Below are 20624 nucleotides of genomic sequence, written 5' to 3' on the forward strand. Positions count from 1 at the left end.
AGGATGGTCTACTTTATTGCTGTGATTTGAAAGGAAAGTTTAAGAATAAATAAAGCTCTACTCCCAATGCCATTTCAGCATTACTTGGTTGAATGTTATTTTCTTTCATGATGAGCAGCCCAGGTCAACAGACAATGGCTAATTATATTACTTCCTTCTGATATTTACTGGTAACAAAGCAACCTACTGTTTATATTATGCCTTGCTGGTTCCTAGAGGGCAAAACCCAAAGGAGTAAACTTTGAGGTGCTTGCCCTTGACAAGTTTATTATCTGATGGGTAAGAGGTAATGGATATATGAAAAAAAAAAGCTATTTGGCGGGGCTCGGGGCTCGGTGGCCCACACCTGTAATCCCAGCACTTTGTGAGGCTGAGGCAGGTGGATCATCTGAGGTAAGGAGTTTGAGACCAGGCTGACCAATATGATGAAACCCCATCTCTACTAAAAATAGAAAAAAGTTAGCCGGGCTTGGTGGCGTGTGACTATAATCCCAGCTACTCGGGAGGCTGAGACAGCAGAATCACTTGAATCTGAGAGGTGGAGGTTGCAGTGAGCTGAGATCATGCCGCTGCACTCCAGCCTAGGCAACAGAATGAGACTCTGTCTCAAAAAAAAAAAAGAAAAAAAGAAAAAAAAACCACACAGAAAAAAAGCTATTTGATGATTCCAGTCAAGCATGCCAAGGACATGGGTGTGACGTGCCTGTGAAAGGTGGGCAGAGGAGGGGTCACTGGGGATTGTTCAAAACAGGTATTTATGGGGCACATTTCACCTGTCCATGCTGTTGCTAAGCTACGTAGAAAATACATTGCCTTTAAATTTTGGAAAGCAAGACTTAAATCACACCACAGTATAGGAGGAGATGAGACAAAGGCTAAATTGCAGAATATGAATCTTGTATGATAGGGATGTCCAGAGGCACAAGTAATTTGCTGGAGGGCAGAGCTGAGGGAGTTGGAGATGTCTGGCCAGAGGAGGTATTTGGATCTTGGTGGAAATGCAGGATTTGGGTTTGTGGAGCGAGGGGAAAAAAATAATTTTAGTTTGGTCTTAACATCTGTGTTCTCTATTTTCCCAGATAACATTTTTGAACGCACAGATCGACAGACATTGTTTGAAAATGTCCAAAGTGGCTGAAAGGTATGTTTTCCTTTAATAATATTACTACTTTCTTCTAATTTAACAGGGAAGAAATGTTACAGGGTTATGGTTAACGAATGTGTTCAATGCCAAGAGTTAGACTGTAGTTATTCCTTAGACTGGGGTGCAGAAAAACCCACAGGCTCCATGTGAGTATAACTAAGATAACAGACCTCCCTTGAGTGATGTCAAGAAATGTTCCGTTGCTAAGGCTTTACAGGGGGTGGCCACGGGACCTTGTCAATCAAGGAAGAATGTCCTTTAAAGCTACATAATGCACCTTTGCCTTCAGCCTCTGGATTAATTCAAATGGAAATTGCTCCCCTTTCAGCTATAAAATGCCCAGATTCACTTTATAGGGGAAAAGAAATTATGTGTGTCCTTTGAGGTGCTGGCTGCATAGACAGGAGGGGACTGGATCATCGGGAAGTGTTCCGCCTCCACACGCCATCAACCACTGAACTGCATCGAATCAGCTGTAAAGAAAATATTTGGCCCCTCCAGCCTGGCTTCCACAGCGGTGTGTGTGCTTCATTCTGCACCAGTAGCTAGTTCCACTCCGTTAACTCATGGGAGACTCAATTTTATCAACTAAATGGTCTGTTTTTTTAACTCTTCCGTGAAGATGGGAGACCACATGGGGAATCTATATGGAATAAATCTAACCAGGCAGCTCAGTAGTGAACATTTATTCATCCATATGCTACCGTTAAAGCAATGACCAATTGCTTAAGGAATCAAGAGCTTAAGTTGGGTCTTGGTATTTATTGGATGTCAGATAAACTGAGTCTTTTAAGCCCAGCTCCTACAGGGGGCTGGCTGTGAGAGCCATCTATAAGCCTGTAAGCCTTTCTCTGCTGGCTCCTGGGTTGATTCACATCTTTTTTCTAGATAAATTACAACAAATGGAAGGTATAAAAACTCCAACCCCAAACAAAGAGTCTGATTGAATACCCTACCTTCAGGGGCTAAGGACATCCCTGGACTTGGGCTCACGTCTTTATTCCAGGGTTTCTCGATTGTGGCACTAGTGACATTCTGAGCCAGATAATTCCTTGTTGTGTTCTTAATGTCCTATGAATTATAGGATAGTTAGCAGCATTCCTGACCTCTCCCCATTAGAGGCCAGTAGTCCCCCACCACCACAGCTGTGAGAACCAAAAATGTCTCCAGACATTGCCAAATGTCCCCTGGGTGGGGTGAAAGTCACTCCCATTGAGAATGACTGACACTCCTGCTTTTTCTATGCAAATGTGCTGGAAAGTTGCCCTGGCTGGAGCTCAGCTTACACTGAGGTACTGATCACTCTGGAGTCGCTGTTTCAGCTAGCTGTGTAGGCTGCAGAATCACCTCATACCTCCTCTCTCATCATGTGTGGCTTCTGGCCAGAGTACCAGGCTCTGAAAATGCTTTTTAGGTCTCACTGTGGTTCCTTTGCCCCAGAAAGGTGGCTGTGAGTGAAACAGCAGCATGGCCTCAACTCTCTTGGTGTCATCCATGGCCTGTGAGGAACCACGAGCTTCTTTCTCTGTGAACTAGGGACAGAAATGGCTGTCCTAGTATACTTTGAGGGTCGGTGTGCTAGCAATGCTCATGTCTGGCCTTGGAAGGTGGAAGAGCTCTTTAGGGTTTGCAATTTAGAAAGAGCGTATATATGGGAGCATCTGTTTCTTTGGATCTATTTGCTCAGGTCCAGTGGTTCTAAGTACCGTAATCCAGGTGAGGGAGGGGGTTAAAAAATGGAAATTCCCAAGCCTCAGCCCTAGGGATTCAGATTCAGTGGTTCCAGGGTTGAGCCAAGAAATCCACATTCTGGATAATCTTCAAGTGGACTGATCTGGTCTTTCAGGATCCGGTGAAGCCATTGCCTGCTACTCAGGCTGACCTGAGAGCTCACATCCAATTTGTTATATCTTTGGGATGCAGAGAAAGAGCCTGAACCTGTCAGCATGAGGGAGGCAGACTCCAGGGCAGGTGTGCAGAGAGTCCAAGGAATGGAGGAAACCAAGGTGGAGGCGGGGAGCCCGGCCCATCCTATTGTTTGTTTGTTTCCTTGCTGTCAGGGAGGGGCCCCACCTGGTACCACCTAATTATGCTTGAGAGGCTGCTCATATTGAAGGATTATTCCAACTGGCTACTCCTCGGTGCCCAGCTAGAAGCTTTCATGAGTCTCTGCCCGGCAGAGGCTGGATTTTATTCCCAGCAGCAATAACTGGCAACTTTTCAATGCGACACGAGGGTTTTTCATTAGAGCCACAAGGAAACCCCCAGATAAGGAGGAGGAGGGAAAGGAGACGCGTGTTAGCTGGAGATAAAGCAGCTGGGAGCCGGGCCTGTCAGTGGCTCTGTGAAGATGGGGCCAGGGAGGAGGTGCTGGCAGCTGGTGAGAAGCTGCCAGAGATGCAGGCTGAGCTCTCTCAGGTGGGCACGCACATCCACATCCACATCCCCATCCTGATCTGGCTTCCCTGGGCCTGCTCCAGGTGATAAGTGGCAATTCCATATCCCCCAGGAAACCGCATCCCCCAGGAAAGGTCTTCATCATTTTTCACCCAGTTCTGTGAGAACTAATAGTGAGGAGAGGCAGGAGGGCTGGGGACAGCGAGGCTGGGCTCTGGGATGTCTACAGTCAGGGTTGGACTAAAGGGTGCATCCAGACCAGCAGGGAGGGAAAAAGGGAACTTTGCAAACTAAAGGGGCAGAACAGACAGTTTAGGGGATGGGTCTGAAACCGACCATCGAGGTTTGAAACCTACCCCTGCCATTTCCTGTTTTCTAACTGATGAAGCCAGTGGCTTCTTCTCTCGGTGCCTGTTTTTACCTCTTTAGAGGGGAGATAGTAGTTGTATTTAAATTATAGGATTAATGAGTTCATGCATGGCAAAAGTATGGTCCAGTCCTTGGGACTCAGTCTGCACACTGGGAATGTGAATAATAATTATTTTCCAGCATGACACTTAACTTGTGCTTTGGAAGAGAGCAGAATTCAAGGCCATGAGACAGAATGAACTGGATATATGGTGCTTAAAGGAGCAAACAAAGGGCAGGCCAAGGAGGGAGGCTGCTAATGCAATTCTTTCCTGCACCCTCTGTCTCCCCCCAGTCTCCCACACAGAGATCTCTGCAGGCTGCCCAAGGCTGACCTTGCACTGCATGTCTCCTTCCACTGCCTCACACGCCATCACTAATCTGGGGCTTTGCGGGAGAAAAGACTTGCTCTTCTGCACAGAATTTCTCAGATCATCCCAGTTCCAAATATTCTGTCCATTGTCTTCCTGAGTGCTTAAGTGTCCCCAAAATGCCAGCATCGTGGCAACCAAACTGCATTTCCTAGGCTGCCTTTTGCACCTGGAAGCAACACAAAAGGCTTTCTGAGCTGTTACCCAATTTTTGTTGCAGAATGTATTGTCTCTGCACACACACACATGAGTGTCTCAGATAAATGACACTTAACACCCTAAGCTTTTTATTTTAACTTTTTTTTTTTTTTTTTTTTTGAGACGGAGTCTTGCTTTGTTGCCCAGGCTGGAGTGCAGTGGTGCAATCTCGGCTCACTGCAAGCTCCGCCTCCCGGGTTCACACCATTCTCCTGCCTCAGCCTCCTCAGTAGCTGGGATTACAGGCACCTGCCACCAAGCCTGGCTAATTTTTTTGTATTTTTTAGTAGAGACATGGTTTCACCATGTTAGTCAGGATGGTCTCGATCTCCTGACGTCGTGATCCGCCCGCCTCGGCCTCCCAAAGTGCTGGGATTACAGGCATGAGCCACCGCTCCCGGCCTATTTTAACTATTTTTTAATGGCAGTGTTTCTTAAATATGGTTCATCCACTTTACTTCCTAATAAAAGGACACTACATTTCAGTTAATTTTGCTAGATGACTCAAGAGTCAGTAGTCTTCTATTATGCTTTAAAACTGTCAGTGGTCAGGATCTTATAAGGTGCCCTGCTTCCCCTTCCCTAAATGGCCCCAGATAATAATATTCTTTGAATTCCTGTTTCTGCCTTTTAGTTGTCTGTCTGTCTGCTTTCTCTACTAACCCTTCCCCCCAACACCCAACCCCTGCTTTCCAATCTGTAGCATACCATGTGTATCAGTTAGCTGTCACTGAGTAACAAAACACCCCAAAACTCAGTGGCTTAAAAAATAGGCTTTTACTATTGCTCACATGTCTATGTGCCACCTGGCTCCACTGGTCTCAGCCATGTTTCTCTATGTGGCTATGGGTTGGCGAGGCAGCTCTGCTGATCTTGGCTGGGCTCTCTCACATGTTTGGCTTCTGCTGGTTTAGGATGGCCTCAGCTGGGACAGTTGAGCACTCCTTAATATGGTCTCTCACCCTCCAGCAGACTAGTTTGACCTTTTCCACATGGGGATAGTGGGATTCCAAGAGAGAGAACAGAAGCATGCAAAACTCTTGCAGATTAGAACTGGCATTCTGTCGCTTCTGTTACCTTTTATTGGCTAAAACAAGTCACTAAGCTGGACTAGATTCAAGGGCAGAAGAAATAGACTCCTTTTTTGAAACTGAACTACCACACCAGGAAATCAAATAACCAAATTGATTAGCTTTGATCCTAAAGCAAGTGTGAAAAGTCTTTTTTGTGAGGTGTGTTGTTCCCGATAACAATGAACCTTGAGGCATGGTGTTTATTTCATCTGTAGACTATGCAGAGGCTCTTATGCTCACTTATCTCATTTGTGTTCTCTGGATACTTGAAGTTGCCAGATAAACAAGGTCCTACTCTTCTCTGCAAGCGTCCCCAAGGGAGTCCCTTTTTTTATTCATCTAAGCCTTATAGCACTTGACAAACCAACTTTGAGAAGCAACACTCCATGCATTTTAGTCCCAAACTGTCTAGTCTCCATGTTTGGCTGCGATTCCCCAGAGACTTCTCCCGACCCATAGCGAGCTTACACCACAATCACTGCAGCTATCCCAGTGCACTGCTGCACACAGAGGGATCAAAATGTTTCATTCCGTACCTGCATCTGTACTTGGCTCATCCTCACCCTATTACTGGGAGCCATTCGTGTGTCACAGCTGACTGCTGAATTGATTTTTTTTAGCATCATCTCACTTGCCTGTATCTGAGATTGCCGCTGCTCCCTGAAATTGGATGCTGGTTCTTCCTCCACCTCCTGACCCTCAGTGATCATGAAATGTAATTAATGAAATGAGATAAGACAGCAAGGGACTGGATACCCCTAAGGGTCTATTAAAAACCTGCTAGGGTGATAGAGGTTTGGGAACTTAATGTCTAATTATAGTTTCAGGGGAGGAAAAAAGAGGGTCACAGAAGTCATTACAACTTTGCTTTTATGGGATTTCAGAAACCATGGGGTCTTTGCTCCTCCTTTCTCCTAGCCTGTTCTAGGTGACAGAAAAAAAAAAAGACCGGAGGTATCATTACAGCCAGGGTGACTGTATCTAGACCAAGATATGGAATCTGTAGCATGTGGAAAAGAAGGGGCCTCCATACCTGGCCTGGTGTAAGCTCTTCTTCCTGCAGGGCTGAATTCACCTTCATGCTCCTTCACTCATCCCAAGTTTCTCTATTGAATGTGTTTTCTCTGGGTGACTTGCAATTAAGGAGTTCTCTTTTTATATTTTCCCTACTTCCCACCTTCTCCAAGTGAAAAAAAAAAAGCTAGATTAATTAATTAATTGCTAGGAATCAAACTTTCTTCTTTCCTCTCCGCAGTGCTGCTCTGCTTCTCATTTTCCTTTCTAATCAGATCCTTCCTGTCCTGGTTCTCTGTTGTGCATCACAGTTCAGAAACTGCATGTAGCAGAGCGAGGCGTGCCAGCATGCTCTCCTCTTCACCCCCTTTAATATTCCAATTCCAGGTCTTCTCATGTAGAGGCTCTGATTTCATAATGAATGCTTTAGTGCATTTGTACTGTATTTCTAAAGTAGGACTAATGGTCGTATCCCATAATGCTTTAGATTCCAGGCCTCGTTTTTGTTGGATTTTGTTTGTTTGTTTGTTTGTTTTCCTGGATAGTAGTTTCCCATAGCTGCAGGCCATACTTCACTGTCCCTTTTTCCTGGAGCCTAGCCATGTCAGTATCTCTTCATCTTCTCCCCACCTGCTCCATATATGTGTCCTTAGCTCTAGGGATTCCTCCTAGGCATTGCTTAACTCAGGATGGACAGCATTTCTTCTTCCTCCAACTTGTCATAGTTTTGTGTGGTTTTTTTTTGGTGGGGGGCGGTCACATCTATACAATTTGTAGCAAAATTATAAGTCTTTTGTTAAGAGAGAAAGGATAAAATCTACAACTTTTATTTTTGTCATATTTTCTCAAGTGGTTGGACTGTATGTTTACTAAATTCTCTTTCATTATTTCCTTCCCCTCCATGTTTATCAAAGGTAGACCCTAATTAGCAATCTAAATTGGGAAGGTTTTGCATTAATAACTGTCCTCCTACCAGGATTGGTTACTATTGTTAGAAGCTGTGACTTTGCTGTTAGCTCAGCTCTAACAACTCTCTGAGATCCAGAGAGCTGTTTGCTATTTAATGGCATAGTAGGCTCTGAATAATGGCTACTAAATGACTGACCACAGAGTGTACCCCTGGTAGCCATCTGGTAGATTTTTTTTTTTTTTTTTTTTTTGCCATTACTAAAGGTTCATGGGGCAGGAGTATGTGAACAAATAGCCAGTTCCACATTTCCACTCAAGACCCAGTTCAAAGCCCACGACAATGGTGGGTAGCACATTTGCTAAAGGTTCACAGATCAGCATCTTCTAGTGATGTGAGAATTTGTCATTTGAAAATAACAAAAGCATATACCAATCAGGAGTCAGGGATAAAGGGACAAGAATGCTAAAATTGCTCATTGAGAAATATTGTTCCTAATGGACTTCTGAATTTCCTATATTTATTTTATTTCTTCCATCTCATCCCAATTCTGCTTTTCTGCCACTCACACCCAGCGGTTGGAGGACCATTGCTGCTGTGTACTGTTATATGCTGGACATCCTACAAAGCTCTTTACATACCTCTATTTTCTTCTCCCTTTTTGCTTCTCCTCTCCTACCTCTAGTCTTTCTGTGGTCATTGGTATTGACTTTGGACTGAAATGGTACTGTGCGTTGGCCATTGCTGCCTCCTTCATTGGCCTGCCTGGCCTTCTCATTGTCTTGTGTGTCCCAAGCAGACTCTGTTCATCTTGTAATCTGTACACTACCAGGAAGCACATGTTCTGAAAGAGACAACCTCTCTGGCTAGTTCTACAAAGGGCTGCCTTGATGAACTTGCCTTCACACTCCCATCACCTTCATTCCCTTTTCAACTGTATTGGTTTGATTCCAAGCAATAAAACCCCAGCTTGAACCTGGTTCTGCAAAATAGAAGCATGCCTTGGCTCCCAGAATACAAGAAGGGGCTGTGGAATTGAACCCTGGGAAAGGCAGCAATGCTACTGAGCTCAGGAAAAGCTGGAGCCAGGGCCTTCAGTGCCTCCAAGACCCATTCTTCCTCTCTGGTCCTGCCCACTTTCCATGCTGACCTTATTCTCTTTCATGACAGACATGTGTTAGGAAACATGACACCACCAGCCCTTGAACTTTGTGACTATACAACTTTGATATGGTTTGGCTGTATCCCCACCCAAATCTCATCTTGAATTGTAGTTCCCATAATCCCCACACGTGATGGGAGGGACCCAGTGGGAGGTAATTGAATCATGCTGGTGTTTTCCCCCATGCTATGCTCATGATAGTAAGTTCTCATGAGACCTGATGGCTTTATAAAGGGCTTCCCCCCTTCATTCAGTTCTCATTCTCCTTCCTGTCACCATGTGAAGAAGGACATGTTTGCTTCCCCTTCCCCCATGATTGTAAGTTTCCTAGGCCTCCCCAGCCATGCTGAACCATGAGTCAATTAAACCTCTTTCCTTTATAAATTAGCCAGTCTTGGGTATTTCCTCATAGCAGCAGGAGAATGGACTAATACAAGCTTCTACTGCTGAAGCTGGGGAAAGAAGATATGAACCTCACTTGCGTCAGGTATCTGTTCCTGGACAAATCAACCATGGCCAGGAGCAGGGCTTATAAATAAATACATGGCAGCTCCTGAAGTAGCCTTGTGTACATGTCAGAGTACAATTCTCAGGAGACAAGCAGAAGTGAGCAGAAACCCATAGAGGCCCTCTATGCCTGCTCACCCATTTTGGAGTACTCACCATCCAGAATCCCTATCTGCTTCACTCAGATTCCCAAGAGACCCAGCATAAGGGTCAACCCTTGTACATTCACTGTATTCCTAGGCAGCACTTCTATCTCCATTTGGATCTCCTTTCATGCCTAAGAAATGGTGCTGGACAGCCTAGGCACAAACCCAAAAGCCTTTTAACTCTCTGCATTAAGCTTAGATCTTATCCTATGTGGCCAACCTTCATTTCTTTCCTGTGTCCCACCTTGGAAGCTCTAGCTACCAGGCATAAGGCACCTCCAGCCCAGACTAAAGAGACAGGAGAGCAAGGAAAGGGTAAGGAGTCCTTGCTTTCATTTCTTGTGCTGTTTCTGCACAGTCTGATGATGTTGAGAAGCATAAGGGAAGAGGAGATCGCCTTCCCTCTCTGCCCAGCGTGGGGTGTTCTTTCACCTCCTCTCAGTCTTTGGCTACCCCAGCTGTGAAGTTAACCCTCTCTGCTACTCTCTCTGGGAAGGATCACCCTCCCCTCCCACCAAGAAGCTGGGAGAGCAGTTGAGGCAGCAGACTGCTAAATGCCCAGGTCACCCATGGGAAACTCCAAGATGCACTTTGCTGTCTCCTGTCTTTTCCATGCAATGATGATGGCAAATAGGACAAATGAGGGTGCATAGATTCATGAACACTGGGTTTATTTGCGTGGGTTGTGATAGTGGCAGCAAAATAAAACATGGCGGTGCCATTATGCACCTTTTATCTACTGCCACACTCTCCTCCAGGTGACTTTATTTTCTACATAGATAAATATAGTAAGAAATACATAATAATACATTTATTTTTTCACATAAATTGCAGTCAAACTACACCTGTGGTAGGCAGAATAATGATCTCTCAAAGATGTCCATGTTCTAATCCCCAGAACCTGTGAATAGGTTATGTTACATGGCAAGGAGAATTCAGGTTGCAGGTGGACTTAAGGTTGCTAATCAGTTCACCTTAAAATAGAGAGATTATCCTGGATTGCCCAGATGGGCCCAGCATAATCACAGGTTCCCGGAAATGTGGAAGAGAGAGGCAGAAGAGTCGGTGTCAGAGTGATGCAGCATGAGAAAACCATAGCTGGCTTTGCAGATGGAAGGGGGCCACGAGCCAAGGAATGCAGGGAGCCTCTAGAAGCTGGAAAAAGGCAAGCAAATGAATTCTTCCCTAGAGCCTCCAGAAGGAACATCGCCCTGCTGACACCTTGATTTTAGCTCAGTGAGACCCATTTCAGACTTCTGACTCTTAGAATTATAAGACAATACATTTGTATTGTTTTCAGCTGCTAAATATGAGATAATCTGTTCCAGCAGCCCTTAGAAACAAATATAAAACCCCAGTCTCTCCCCTTCTCATAGAATCTGAAGGCCAAATTGTTCATCCTCTTTGTCTTTAATATACCAGCATCTCCGAGCACCCCGCTGACTAGGAGTGCCTCTTATAGCCCCAATACGTGTATGTCTCATTCTGATGATTCAATACTTCCTTTTCCCATCAATAAAATACAACATTCAAAATATGTATGCCCATCTAATTTTACTGTTTCCTTTACAAAGCCTCTGACTTTATTTATGTAACTTAACAAAATAGATTTCCCTCTTCTAATACAATAAATTTCCCTTCCGACCAGTACCACTCATCTCTGACACTGGCCAGCAGATTAGTTGCTCGTAATGACTTTGGCTTTGTTGCCTGGTTCAGGTTGTCAGGACTTTCTGTGTTCCTTCTCCACGTGTTCCTCTATAGCATGTCTTGACGCCTCTTGCCTAGACCTTTTTTAGAGAAGGCATGACATGGCACAAGCTCCCAGGAACAATTTCATTCATGCTTAATGCCTGTTGCAAAGTCATATTTTTTGCTCTTATGTTGGGTGGTCACAAAAATCTCACCTTGGGCTCTCAACCACATTCTCCTAAACCAACATCACCATGAGCTCTCACCACCTCTCTTCCACCCACTTCTCTAATGATATTCCAGGATTTTTCTTAAAGAGATCTGGCTATGAGCCTGTATTTCATTACAGCTTAAATAATCATATTATTTCCCATTTCCTTAGTTGCTCTCTGGACTTTTAAGATTCTACTGCCTTAGGCTGGTCAGCGGACAGCTGCCTTCATTGCCATGCATATAGTAATAGGCAGCTGGAGCCTGCAGGCTCCTCTTGGGACCAGGTGCTGGCTGAACTCTCACCACAGCCTCTCCTGAGCCTTCCCTATTGTCCCCTCAGCCCAGCACTCACTCAGGGCTCCATATGGGGACTTGTCCACAGGACCTGACCTGGCTGGTTGGACCCCACTTCCCAGGTTGGAGATGTGACCACATCGAGGATCTGCTAGAACACATTTGGGGAGGGGTCTGATAAAAACCCCAGCCTGTCTCATTGAAATCTAAGGAAGCAAGAGGGAGGAGGGGAGGACATTTCATTTTTCAATCCCTATGTTCTACTTCAGGGAAATCTATTTCTGGTCTTAAAAAAAAATTCCCCAATAACGTAATTAATTAAAAGAGGTCCTACCTTTTGCCTTGAGCTGCCAAGTGGATGTCTTTTATTTGAGATTCAAAGCTAACTAAGGCTGAGATTATTGGAATGGCCAGGGCAGATGTCCTGGGAGGACAAAGGGGGCCCCCCCACCGGCTGTTTGCTCATCTCAGATTTTGAGAATGCCATGGATGCTGAAATGCCTCATAATTGGGAGAACCCCCCAATATGTCATCGTGACTCAGATCCTCTGGGGCACCTCAGTACAACTCGTCACCCCCTGAACAGGATTTCGGTTTTCTGCTGCTGGCTTGTCTTTGTGCTGATCTGAGCAAAGGAGACAGGTAGCCCAGTGTTCTCTCTGTATCCCCACATCCAGCTTGCTCTCTCACATTCCCTGTAGTGGGTTGAATAGTGGAGCCCCAAAAGATAGGTCCTAGGCCTTACCTGTGAAACCTGTGAATGTGACCTCCTTTGGGAAGAGTCTTTGCAGATGTAATTCAGTTAAGGATATCTACATAAATCATTATGGATTATCCAGAGACTCCAAATCCAATGACAAGTGTCCTCATAAGACAAAAAAGAGAGCGGATGACACAGGCACAGAAGAAAGCCATGTGAAGACAAAGACAGAGATGAAAGTGATGCAGCCACAAGCCAAGGCATGCCTGGAGCCACCAGAAACTGGAAGGAAAAGAAAGGAAAGGAAAGGAGAGGCAAGGCGAGGTGAGACGAGGCGAGGCGAGGTGAAATTATCCCCTAGAGCCTTCGGAGGGAGGATGGCCCTGCCAACACCTTGATATCAGACTTCTAGCCTCCAAAACCGAGTATAAACTTCTGTTGTTTTAACCATTTGTGGTCATTTGTTATTGCAGCCCTAGAAAACTAACATATTCCTCAACATGCAATGCCATTTCTTTTATAAAGAATTCAATCAGCCCAAGTAGCTAAGAAGTGGCTTCCAGGTGCAGCACCAACTTGTAGCCTGGTCCTTCCTGCCATAGTGCTTTCTTACAGCTCCCTTGCCCAGGTTCATTCTGCCTGAGATGTCGTAAAGCTCTTGATATGGTTTGCCTGTGTCCCCACCCAGATCTCGTCTTGAATTCCCATGTGTTGTGAGAGGGACCCAGTGAGAGGTAATTGAATCATGGGGCAGGTCATTCCTGTGCTGTTCCCATGATAGTGAATAAGTCTCATGAGATCTGATGGCTTTAAAAATGGGAGTTTCCCTGCACAAGCTCGCTCTCTTTGCCTGCTGCCATCCATGTAAGACATGACTTGCTCCTCCTTGCCTCCCACCATGATTGTGAGGCCTCCCCAGCTACATGGAACTGTAAGTCCATTAAACCTCTTTCTCTTATAAATTGCCCAGTCTCAGGTATGTCTTTATCAGCAGCATGAAAACAAACTAATACAGCTCTTATTGGTGAAGCCTGGCCCCAGGGAAGATGCATACCTTGCAGGAGATTTATAGGACAGAGGATGTGCCTCTAGTGTGCCCGTGGTTTCGCTTGTCTATTTTATATTTGTAGAGGATTGTCAAGATTCTTTGGAGATGCTTTCCCATTTTCTATCACAATGGTCCTGAGTGCTCAACAAGCCTGTTATATAACATGATGAACTTGACAAAGATCAGTTAAATGACTCAACCAAGAATTCAAACTAAGGCTTTTCAACTGGGACCACTGCTGCTTCTACCCCAGGGGTCATGATAAACACCTGGGACAGCGAGGAGGCTCTGAGGTGTCCGAAAATTTACATCCATCTTCAAAACCAAAATTACCAGGGGCTCTTTCATTTTGATTTGATGAATAAAACATCTTGTGTCCTGAATGTTTCAGAAAATTGAGGAATGAGATATGGTTCTCTCAAACTTGGATGTGCATATGAATCACCTGGGGGATCCTATTAAAAAGCAGAATCTGACTCAGGAGGCCTGGGCTGGGACCTGAGATCCTGCATTGCTAACAGGCTCCCAGGTGATGCCAGTGCAGCTGGTTTATGGATCACACTTCCAGTAGCATGAGATGGCACCTCTGACTAATTTCTCTGCCTGTTCAGCATTAAGCTAATTGGCCATTATTGCCCTTTGCAATTCAGTAGTAGGAATTGTGGCTCTGACTTTGCTGTTGTGGGAGAAGATGCTGACACACAAGCTGGCAATGCTTAAGGAAAAATTTTATTGTGGATCGATAACCATAAAAATATTCATACCTTTTGGTCAAATAATTCTGCTTATGGATATGCATTCTAAATAAATAACCCAGAAGATGAAAAAAAAAAATCTGTGTGAACAACGGTGTTCTACCACAGCACTATGTATATTAAAAAAGAAAAAAATCTGTGTCTAATAAAAAGGAAACGATTAAGTAAATTGTAATAAAGTCACTCAATGCAACCAAGACAATATTGTAGACATATGTTCATCTTCTCCCTTTCCTCAAATGCAACATGTCACTAAAGGAACAAAAATGGCATGAACTCACAAGGTTAACAAACTATTAATAATTTCAACACATTTGTCCAAGATACAAAGTTTACGTAATTGGGGAACATAACCACAGGCCCCTATGTCTGTATTTGTTATTTTTTATTTTTTTAATTGGTCAGCGAGTACAAGGTATCAAAGTAAAATCTTACAATTTTTATACATTTCTGTATGCCTGAAATATTTCAAAATTTAATAAAAAAGAAAGTGCATAGGGACAGAGTAAAGAACATTCTAACCTACATGTTGGGGGCAGAAGTGATGTGACAAAGTGAGCCAGTTTTCGCAACAAAGCCTGGCCTTGGCTCTTGAAGGCACTAGGGACCATGGAAAGCAGGAATGAGGCATGGGGCTAACAGCAGAGGAATGGTCAAGTCTGTCACAGGAGACTTTGCACCCCTAGATCTCCTGCCCTACTAGGAAACAATCCTTCCCACCTACCACCACTGCAGGAGATGGGCAGTTTTTTCTTGAGAGAAATTGAGCCACATACGCTCAGATCTCAGACACATCAGATCTCATAAGAGGCCACCTGAAAATAAGAGAATTAATGGAAGCTCTACGCACTGAACTGTGGGGCCTGTAGGGATGGAAAGTGTGATACCTTTCCTCATCTACCATAAGGATTACGGCCAACACTGCTATAACAAAAGAGGTTAACAAGAGAAAAGCATAAATGCATTTATTTCATCAGTTTCACATGACACAGAAGCCTTCAGAAATGAAGACTCAAAGACCCAGGGAAAACTGTATTTGTGCTTAGGTTCCATGAAGAATGGGAAGCCTTGTAGAAATGTGATTGGACAAAAGGGTGTGATCTACTGGTAACAGACTGAGGGGAGGAAACCCAGCAAGGCCTGTCTGTTCAGATTCTTCTTAGTGTCTCTGAGTAGCATTCCTACCTCCCAGGTAGGACCTCTCTGGAATGAGGGTTTTCAAGGGAGAAGGGAGCGAGTGACCTTTCTAGGTTTTGTGGCTTGCTTTGCAGGAGAGGCATTCTAGTTTCTATGACCCACTTTGGCGAAAAAGAATTCTTGTTTCTATGACTTACGTCGGGGGAGAAAAAGGGATGGGAGACGGGGGCAGGAGAGAAGGTGAAAGCCTTGGCTTCTGAGGCCCTTCCATTCTCCTTTAGTTCAAAGTACTCAGCATGCCAACATACTATACTTTAGGGTATCATGTTCTGAGCCCCAACAGACCCTCAGCCCCTCCCCGACCCTGCTCTCAGGCCTCCAGGAGCCAGACATATATACCCACAGGCAAGAGACTGTCAAAGTACAACCTGTGGGCCAAACCATACTCCATTCTGTTTTTGCAAATAAAGTTTTATTAGAACACAGTCACACGCATTCATTTGCAAGCTGTCTATGGCTGCTTTTATGCCACAGCAGTAGAGCTGAGTAGTGGCAACAGACACCATCTGGCCCACAAAGCCTAAAATATTTACTATCTAGGCCCTGCAGAAAAAGCTTGCCAATGCCTGCCCTAGGGAAAAATAGACGCCCCAGAGGAAAGACTCCAGATCCCTCATTTGGAGCTCCCATTAAAATACTGGTAAACTTCCCTATGACAATGAAGCCCATCAGTGACAAGCCCCATCCACACGCCCACTGAGCCGCCAAGCAGGTTTCAGTACCTCAGTCTTAAGTACAAATGGATGTCCAAAGATTTTCCAGACACTCCAGGAAGGCTCAGCGTGAAAGAGTATAATCAAAATAAACCGACAGAAAAAAGGAACTTGGAAGAACCAAAATAATTCAACAACTGGAAGAAACTTACAATAAAAGTATAGAACTCATATTATCTGAGAAATGAGAAGGTATTTCATCCATAAAACAAGAACTAGACACTATGATAACCAAAAGTGAACTCTGAAACTTAGAAAGTAATGGCTCAAAATTAAAAAATAAATAAATAGTTAAAAGAGAGTTTAACAAAAAGACAAGGAGATGAAAAATGGGAGGGAAAATAAACAATTCAGGATGTCCAATATTGAACTGGAAAAAAAAATATAGGACAAGCAAACAAAGGAAACAAAGGGTTTAAAATTAGTGATGAATACTATAAAATTCCTGATAATTATTTTCTTATCTATCACACACTGTGCCCAGCATAGTAAATAACAACAACCAGCAAGGGCCATCATGAAATTGCAGAACACTCTAGCAATAAAGAGATGATTCTAAGTTGACAGAGAGAAAAGAAACTGAACCAAAGAACGAGAATCAAAATGGATCCAGGCTTCTCAATAGTAACACTGCATACCAGAAAAAAAAAAACATGGAGTGATGCCTACAAATTTCTAAAGGAAAGAGATTTTTCACCTAGTGTTCTATGTCTAGCACTATCAGTCAAGTATGGAGATAAAAGCATTTTTAGACTTGCAAGGATTCTCATGCATCCTTTATTACGAAACTACTAAAGGATGTGCTTCAACACAATCAGGGAGTAAAAGCAAGAGATAGACATGGAATCCAGGAAACATGGGCTTTTCAACACAGAAGTGAAGGAAGTCCCAAAAAGATCATTTTCCATCAAGTCTATAGAGCAAATGATCCAGTTTCGAGCAAGAAGACTAAAGACTTCAGGAAAGAGGATCTCTGGGAAACAAGAGGACAGAACTGCTCAATTATTTGATGTGTTTAAGGTATAAAAAAATGATTGCTAGATGTTTTACAGGTTTGTTAAAACACTTGCTTGGAAAAAGTAGTATGATATTTAGCTGAACAGCAAACAATTTTTATCTAGTTTAATAATGTTACACTGACCATTGATTTAACAAAAATTGTAACACAAATCTATTTGGAGGATCACGTAAGAAAAGGAGGGAGTTGAGGACTGGTGAATAGAAAGATAAATTCTTGTCTAAAATAAAAAAATCAGGAATAGATATAAAAGCGTATAATTTAGAAATATATAGGTAGCTTTTAGAAAAAACATAAGGTGGAAAGTAGATGCCTCTCTGAGAAGGGATGGGAGGAAAAAATAATTGCTTTTGCTTTTTTAGTATATATAATCATTTGGTACTATTTTATTATTCTAACTATTCACATACATTTTGATAAGAATAAAAATTAGTCTAAAATAAATTATATCAATCTATAAGATCAACATATCTATTAGATCATAATTATAACTAGAAAAGTTGCTTTTTTGGAAAAAAATGCAAATGTTTACTCCTTGTGGTCTGCTGATATTTAAAAGTCTTTATCATAAGAAAGTCCTTCCGTTGGGAATGCTGAGCTGGCAGTCTGGTGGAGCTGTAGTGTCTTTTGTGTGTTCCAGATGCCTCGAGAATCAGTCTTTGTGGGAGGGTGGAACACAAACAGTTTTGACCAGTGTATTAGTATCAGTAAGGCTAGCATAACCAGGGAGAGATGCACCAAGGTTCAGGTAAAGAATCAAGTGAGGAAAAGATATATAAAATGCATGTATATATCATGGCTGCAACAGTGCAAAAATGGTATGTTCGTTATAAGAAGGAAATAAGGACAAATGAAAACAGTTTGATGTGTCAGAAGTGGGAGCGGAAATAAATTTTTTCCTTTAATTTAGAATTATGTGAAGACTGCTATAATGTTTGTGTAAAACAGAATAAAGGGGTTTTCTAAGGAAATCAGTGGCATTCTTTGCTCTGCCTCCCTCCTGCAGTTTAATTGCCTACACGGAACAATATGTGGAATATGACCCTTTGATAACACCAGCTGAGCCATCCAACCCTTGGATCAGCGATGACGTTGCTTTGTGGGACATAGAGATGAGGTAAAAAATGTTTTAAGGTTTGGGAGTGGGATGAATGTAGACAAAAATCCATGAGATCATGAGATTACCTTATATTCTATCTTAATTTGACATTTTTTATCGCTAGAACAGAAACCCCTCAAGTAGCCTCCCAGCTGAGTTCTACTTACAGTTTCTACCTCCTTATAGCTTTGATTTGTGCATGGATCCTTTGTGGCTCCCCTCTGACCCTTTGGATACCATGATAACTGAGACAGTCCCTCACCATTCCCTAGTTCTGATTGCTGGAAGAAAAGAATCTGTTGTTCCAATTTTTTTTCCTGTTAGACAGCAACAATAATGATAATAGCTGGCACGTATTCTGCATTGGCCACATCCTGCAGTAAGTGTCTCTCACTGAATCCCCTCGACAGGTAAACATTACTATTCTCACCACTCAGCAGTTATGGAAACTGAGGCACAGAGGAGTTAATGAACTTGCCCAAGGTCATACTGCTAGTACAGCAGAGTTAGGACTAGAACTCAGGCAGAGGGCTCCAGAACCATGATTTCATCACTCTGTTCTTCTGGAGTAACTGCCAGCAACGATTCCAGCCAGTTTCTCCTTCCCTGTGAGGGAAGCCACTGTGTTTACTTAAGAGGGGAGGAACCAAAGCCCAGAGGGACTTGGACCACTTTCAGAATTACAGAAGGAAACACACAGACAAAGCTAGTGTGGTGTGCCTTCACACCCCCTGCACCTTGGCTGGATGAATTTTTATTTCCCTTTTCATGTCTCTGTCACTCACATTGTCTTTCACTTTTGCCCCTTTTCTGGCTGCTTTTCCTGAAATGGAAAAAATCTTATAAAAATAATAAAAGTCGCAGATGCTCATTCTAAAAAGTTCAAATTATCCAGATGTGCATAAAGAAGAAAATGCTCTCTTCCTCCAACCCGATTTCACCTTCCAGAAAGAACCTTTGTTTATAGTCTAATGCTGTGGTTCCCAGAGTGGATCAGAGCACCCTGAGCACTGTGGGGAACTCACAGAGTTACCACTGGATAGTCCAAATTTTTTATGGAAACACAGCGATGGTTGACACATGGCAGATACTGCATAAACTACTAGCTTAAGATGGTTCAGTTTCAACATTAGAGCACGTTACATCCCTTATGATGATACGCATCTTTGCAAATCTGGCTTTTCGGAGCAGTCACTATGATAAAAAGCAAGAACTGCACAAAAATTAACATGGAATAAGAAATAGGGACGGTAAGTTCCAACCTAATTCCAAAATTTAAGAAAATGCGTAGTGCCCAATAGGTGCATATTGTAGTTATTTAAGAATGAAAACAAAATTTTCAATTTATGTGTCTTTCAAACAGCTACTAAGTTGTTAGGATACAAATACATATTAAGTTGATTGGTCCTAGCCATAATAAATGACACTGTTAAGTATTTCTTTTGGCCCAGGGGCACTGTGAAAAACTTACTGAGACGCTAAGGGTACCATGAGCTCAGCAAATTTGGGAACATCTGATTTAGTGTCTATTACTTTGGATTTTTATGCACATATAACATTCTATCCTTTTGTATAATTGGGTTCAATATATATACCCAAATATGTACATATATATATATAGTCCAATAATTTTTAAATTAACAATAGGTCGTGGCAGTCTTTCCATGTAAACACATATAGATCCACCTTACTCTTTTTAATAGCTACATACTATCCCCTGGCACCGGTGAAGTAAGATTTATTTTACCAGTACCTGGATCATAAATATTTAGCTTATGTCCTCCTTTTTTGCCACCATAAACAATGATTCCGGGAACATCTTTCTACACAAGTTCAATTATTTCATCAGTATATATTTTCCAGGAGTAGAATTCGTAGAAATGGTATGCATATTTTAATTTTAGTTCGTAGGTCCAGATTCCTCTTGAGCAAAACTGTAACACATCTTTTTCATTCCCTTAGCTTAAAAGTGCCCATTTCCCCACATTCTTACCATCCCAAGCATCATCAATCATTTTGTCTTTGCAAATCCAAAAGGTTAAAATAATTCTCATTTTACTGTTTTGTTTCCTTGTTAATATACTTGAGAATCTTTTCACATGTTTATTAGACAGATTCTAGCAATATGTTTTGCTTTGGATATTTGGATATAAAACAGTCACATTTACTTGAATCATATATTTTATCTTTTTCCTGATATATTTCTGAATCTCATTCTTTGTTCTTGTTTCTTTTTCTCTTCCCTGACTTTTACTTTATTAATGTTATATTAACTTTGTAAAAACCCTAGTTTCTATTCTAGTTGTATTAACTTTTAAATGTTTTAATTAAAAACATCATCGATTTAAACAAACAAGAGTGAAGTATATAAAATAGTGAAGTTACCTTTGCCTCCCTTAAATCCCATTCTTCCCAGAGGTATGTTAACTTGATATATTTTAAACCAACATTTTTGAACTTGTATTTCTATGAACATTTAAAGAATAACTAGTATATAGTACGTATCTTCTTTCTAATATTTCTGATGAGCCCTAGGTAGTTCCTTCTAAGTCAAGAACTTAACTCTTT

The 20624-nt window shown here is 42.6% G+C and overlaps 1 protein-coding gene across 56 annotated transcripts in view, besides 1 other annotated feature; it reads left to right on the top strand.

Moving 5' to 3' along the window:
* The window catches only part of RGS6 (regulator of G protein signaling 6), a 762695-nt gene that overhangs the window by 609854 nt on the left and 132217 nt on the right, over nucleotides 1-20624 (top strand). For 44 of the 56 annotated variants that reach the window (NR_135235.2, XM_024449761.2, NM_001370270.1 and 41 more), the window contains 2 exons: nucleotides 1080-1141; nucleotides 17964-18074. Coding sequence is in view for 55 of the 56 variants with exons in the window: in XM_024449761.2 (XP_024305529.1) it covers nucleotides 1080-1141; nucleotides 17964-18074 (173 nt within the window). In the remaining variant the exon portion in view is untranslated. The remainder of the gene's footprint in view (nucleotides 1-1079; nucleotides 1142-17963; nucleotides 18075-20624) is intronic. The other 12 variants (XM_017021820.3, XM_024449776.2, NM_001370292.1 and 9 more) reach the window with 1 other exon arrangement.
* Nucleotides 3976-4025: an enhancer, noted in NCBI's record as "active region_8682". NCBI's record gives its function as "activates an Ori minimal core promoter by ATAC-STARR-seq in GM12878 lymphoblastoid cells {active_cell/tissue: GM12878}" and the evidence as "EXISTENCE:reporter gene assay evidence [ECO:0000049][PMID:35858748]".

The sequence above is a fragment of the Homo sapiens genome, chromosome 14, assembly GCF_000001405.40.
Source record: "Homo sapiens chromosome 14, GRCh38.p14 Primary Assembly".
NCBI classification, from domain to species: Eukaryota; Metazoa; Chordata; class Mammalia; order Primates; family Hominidae; genus Homo; species Homo sapiens.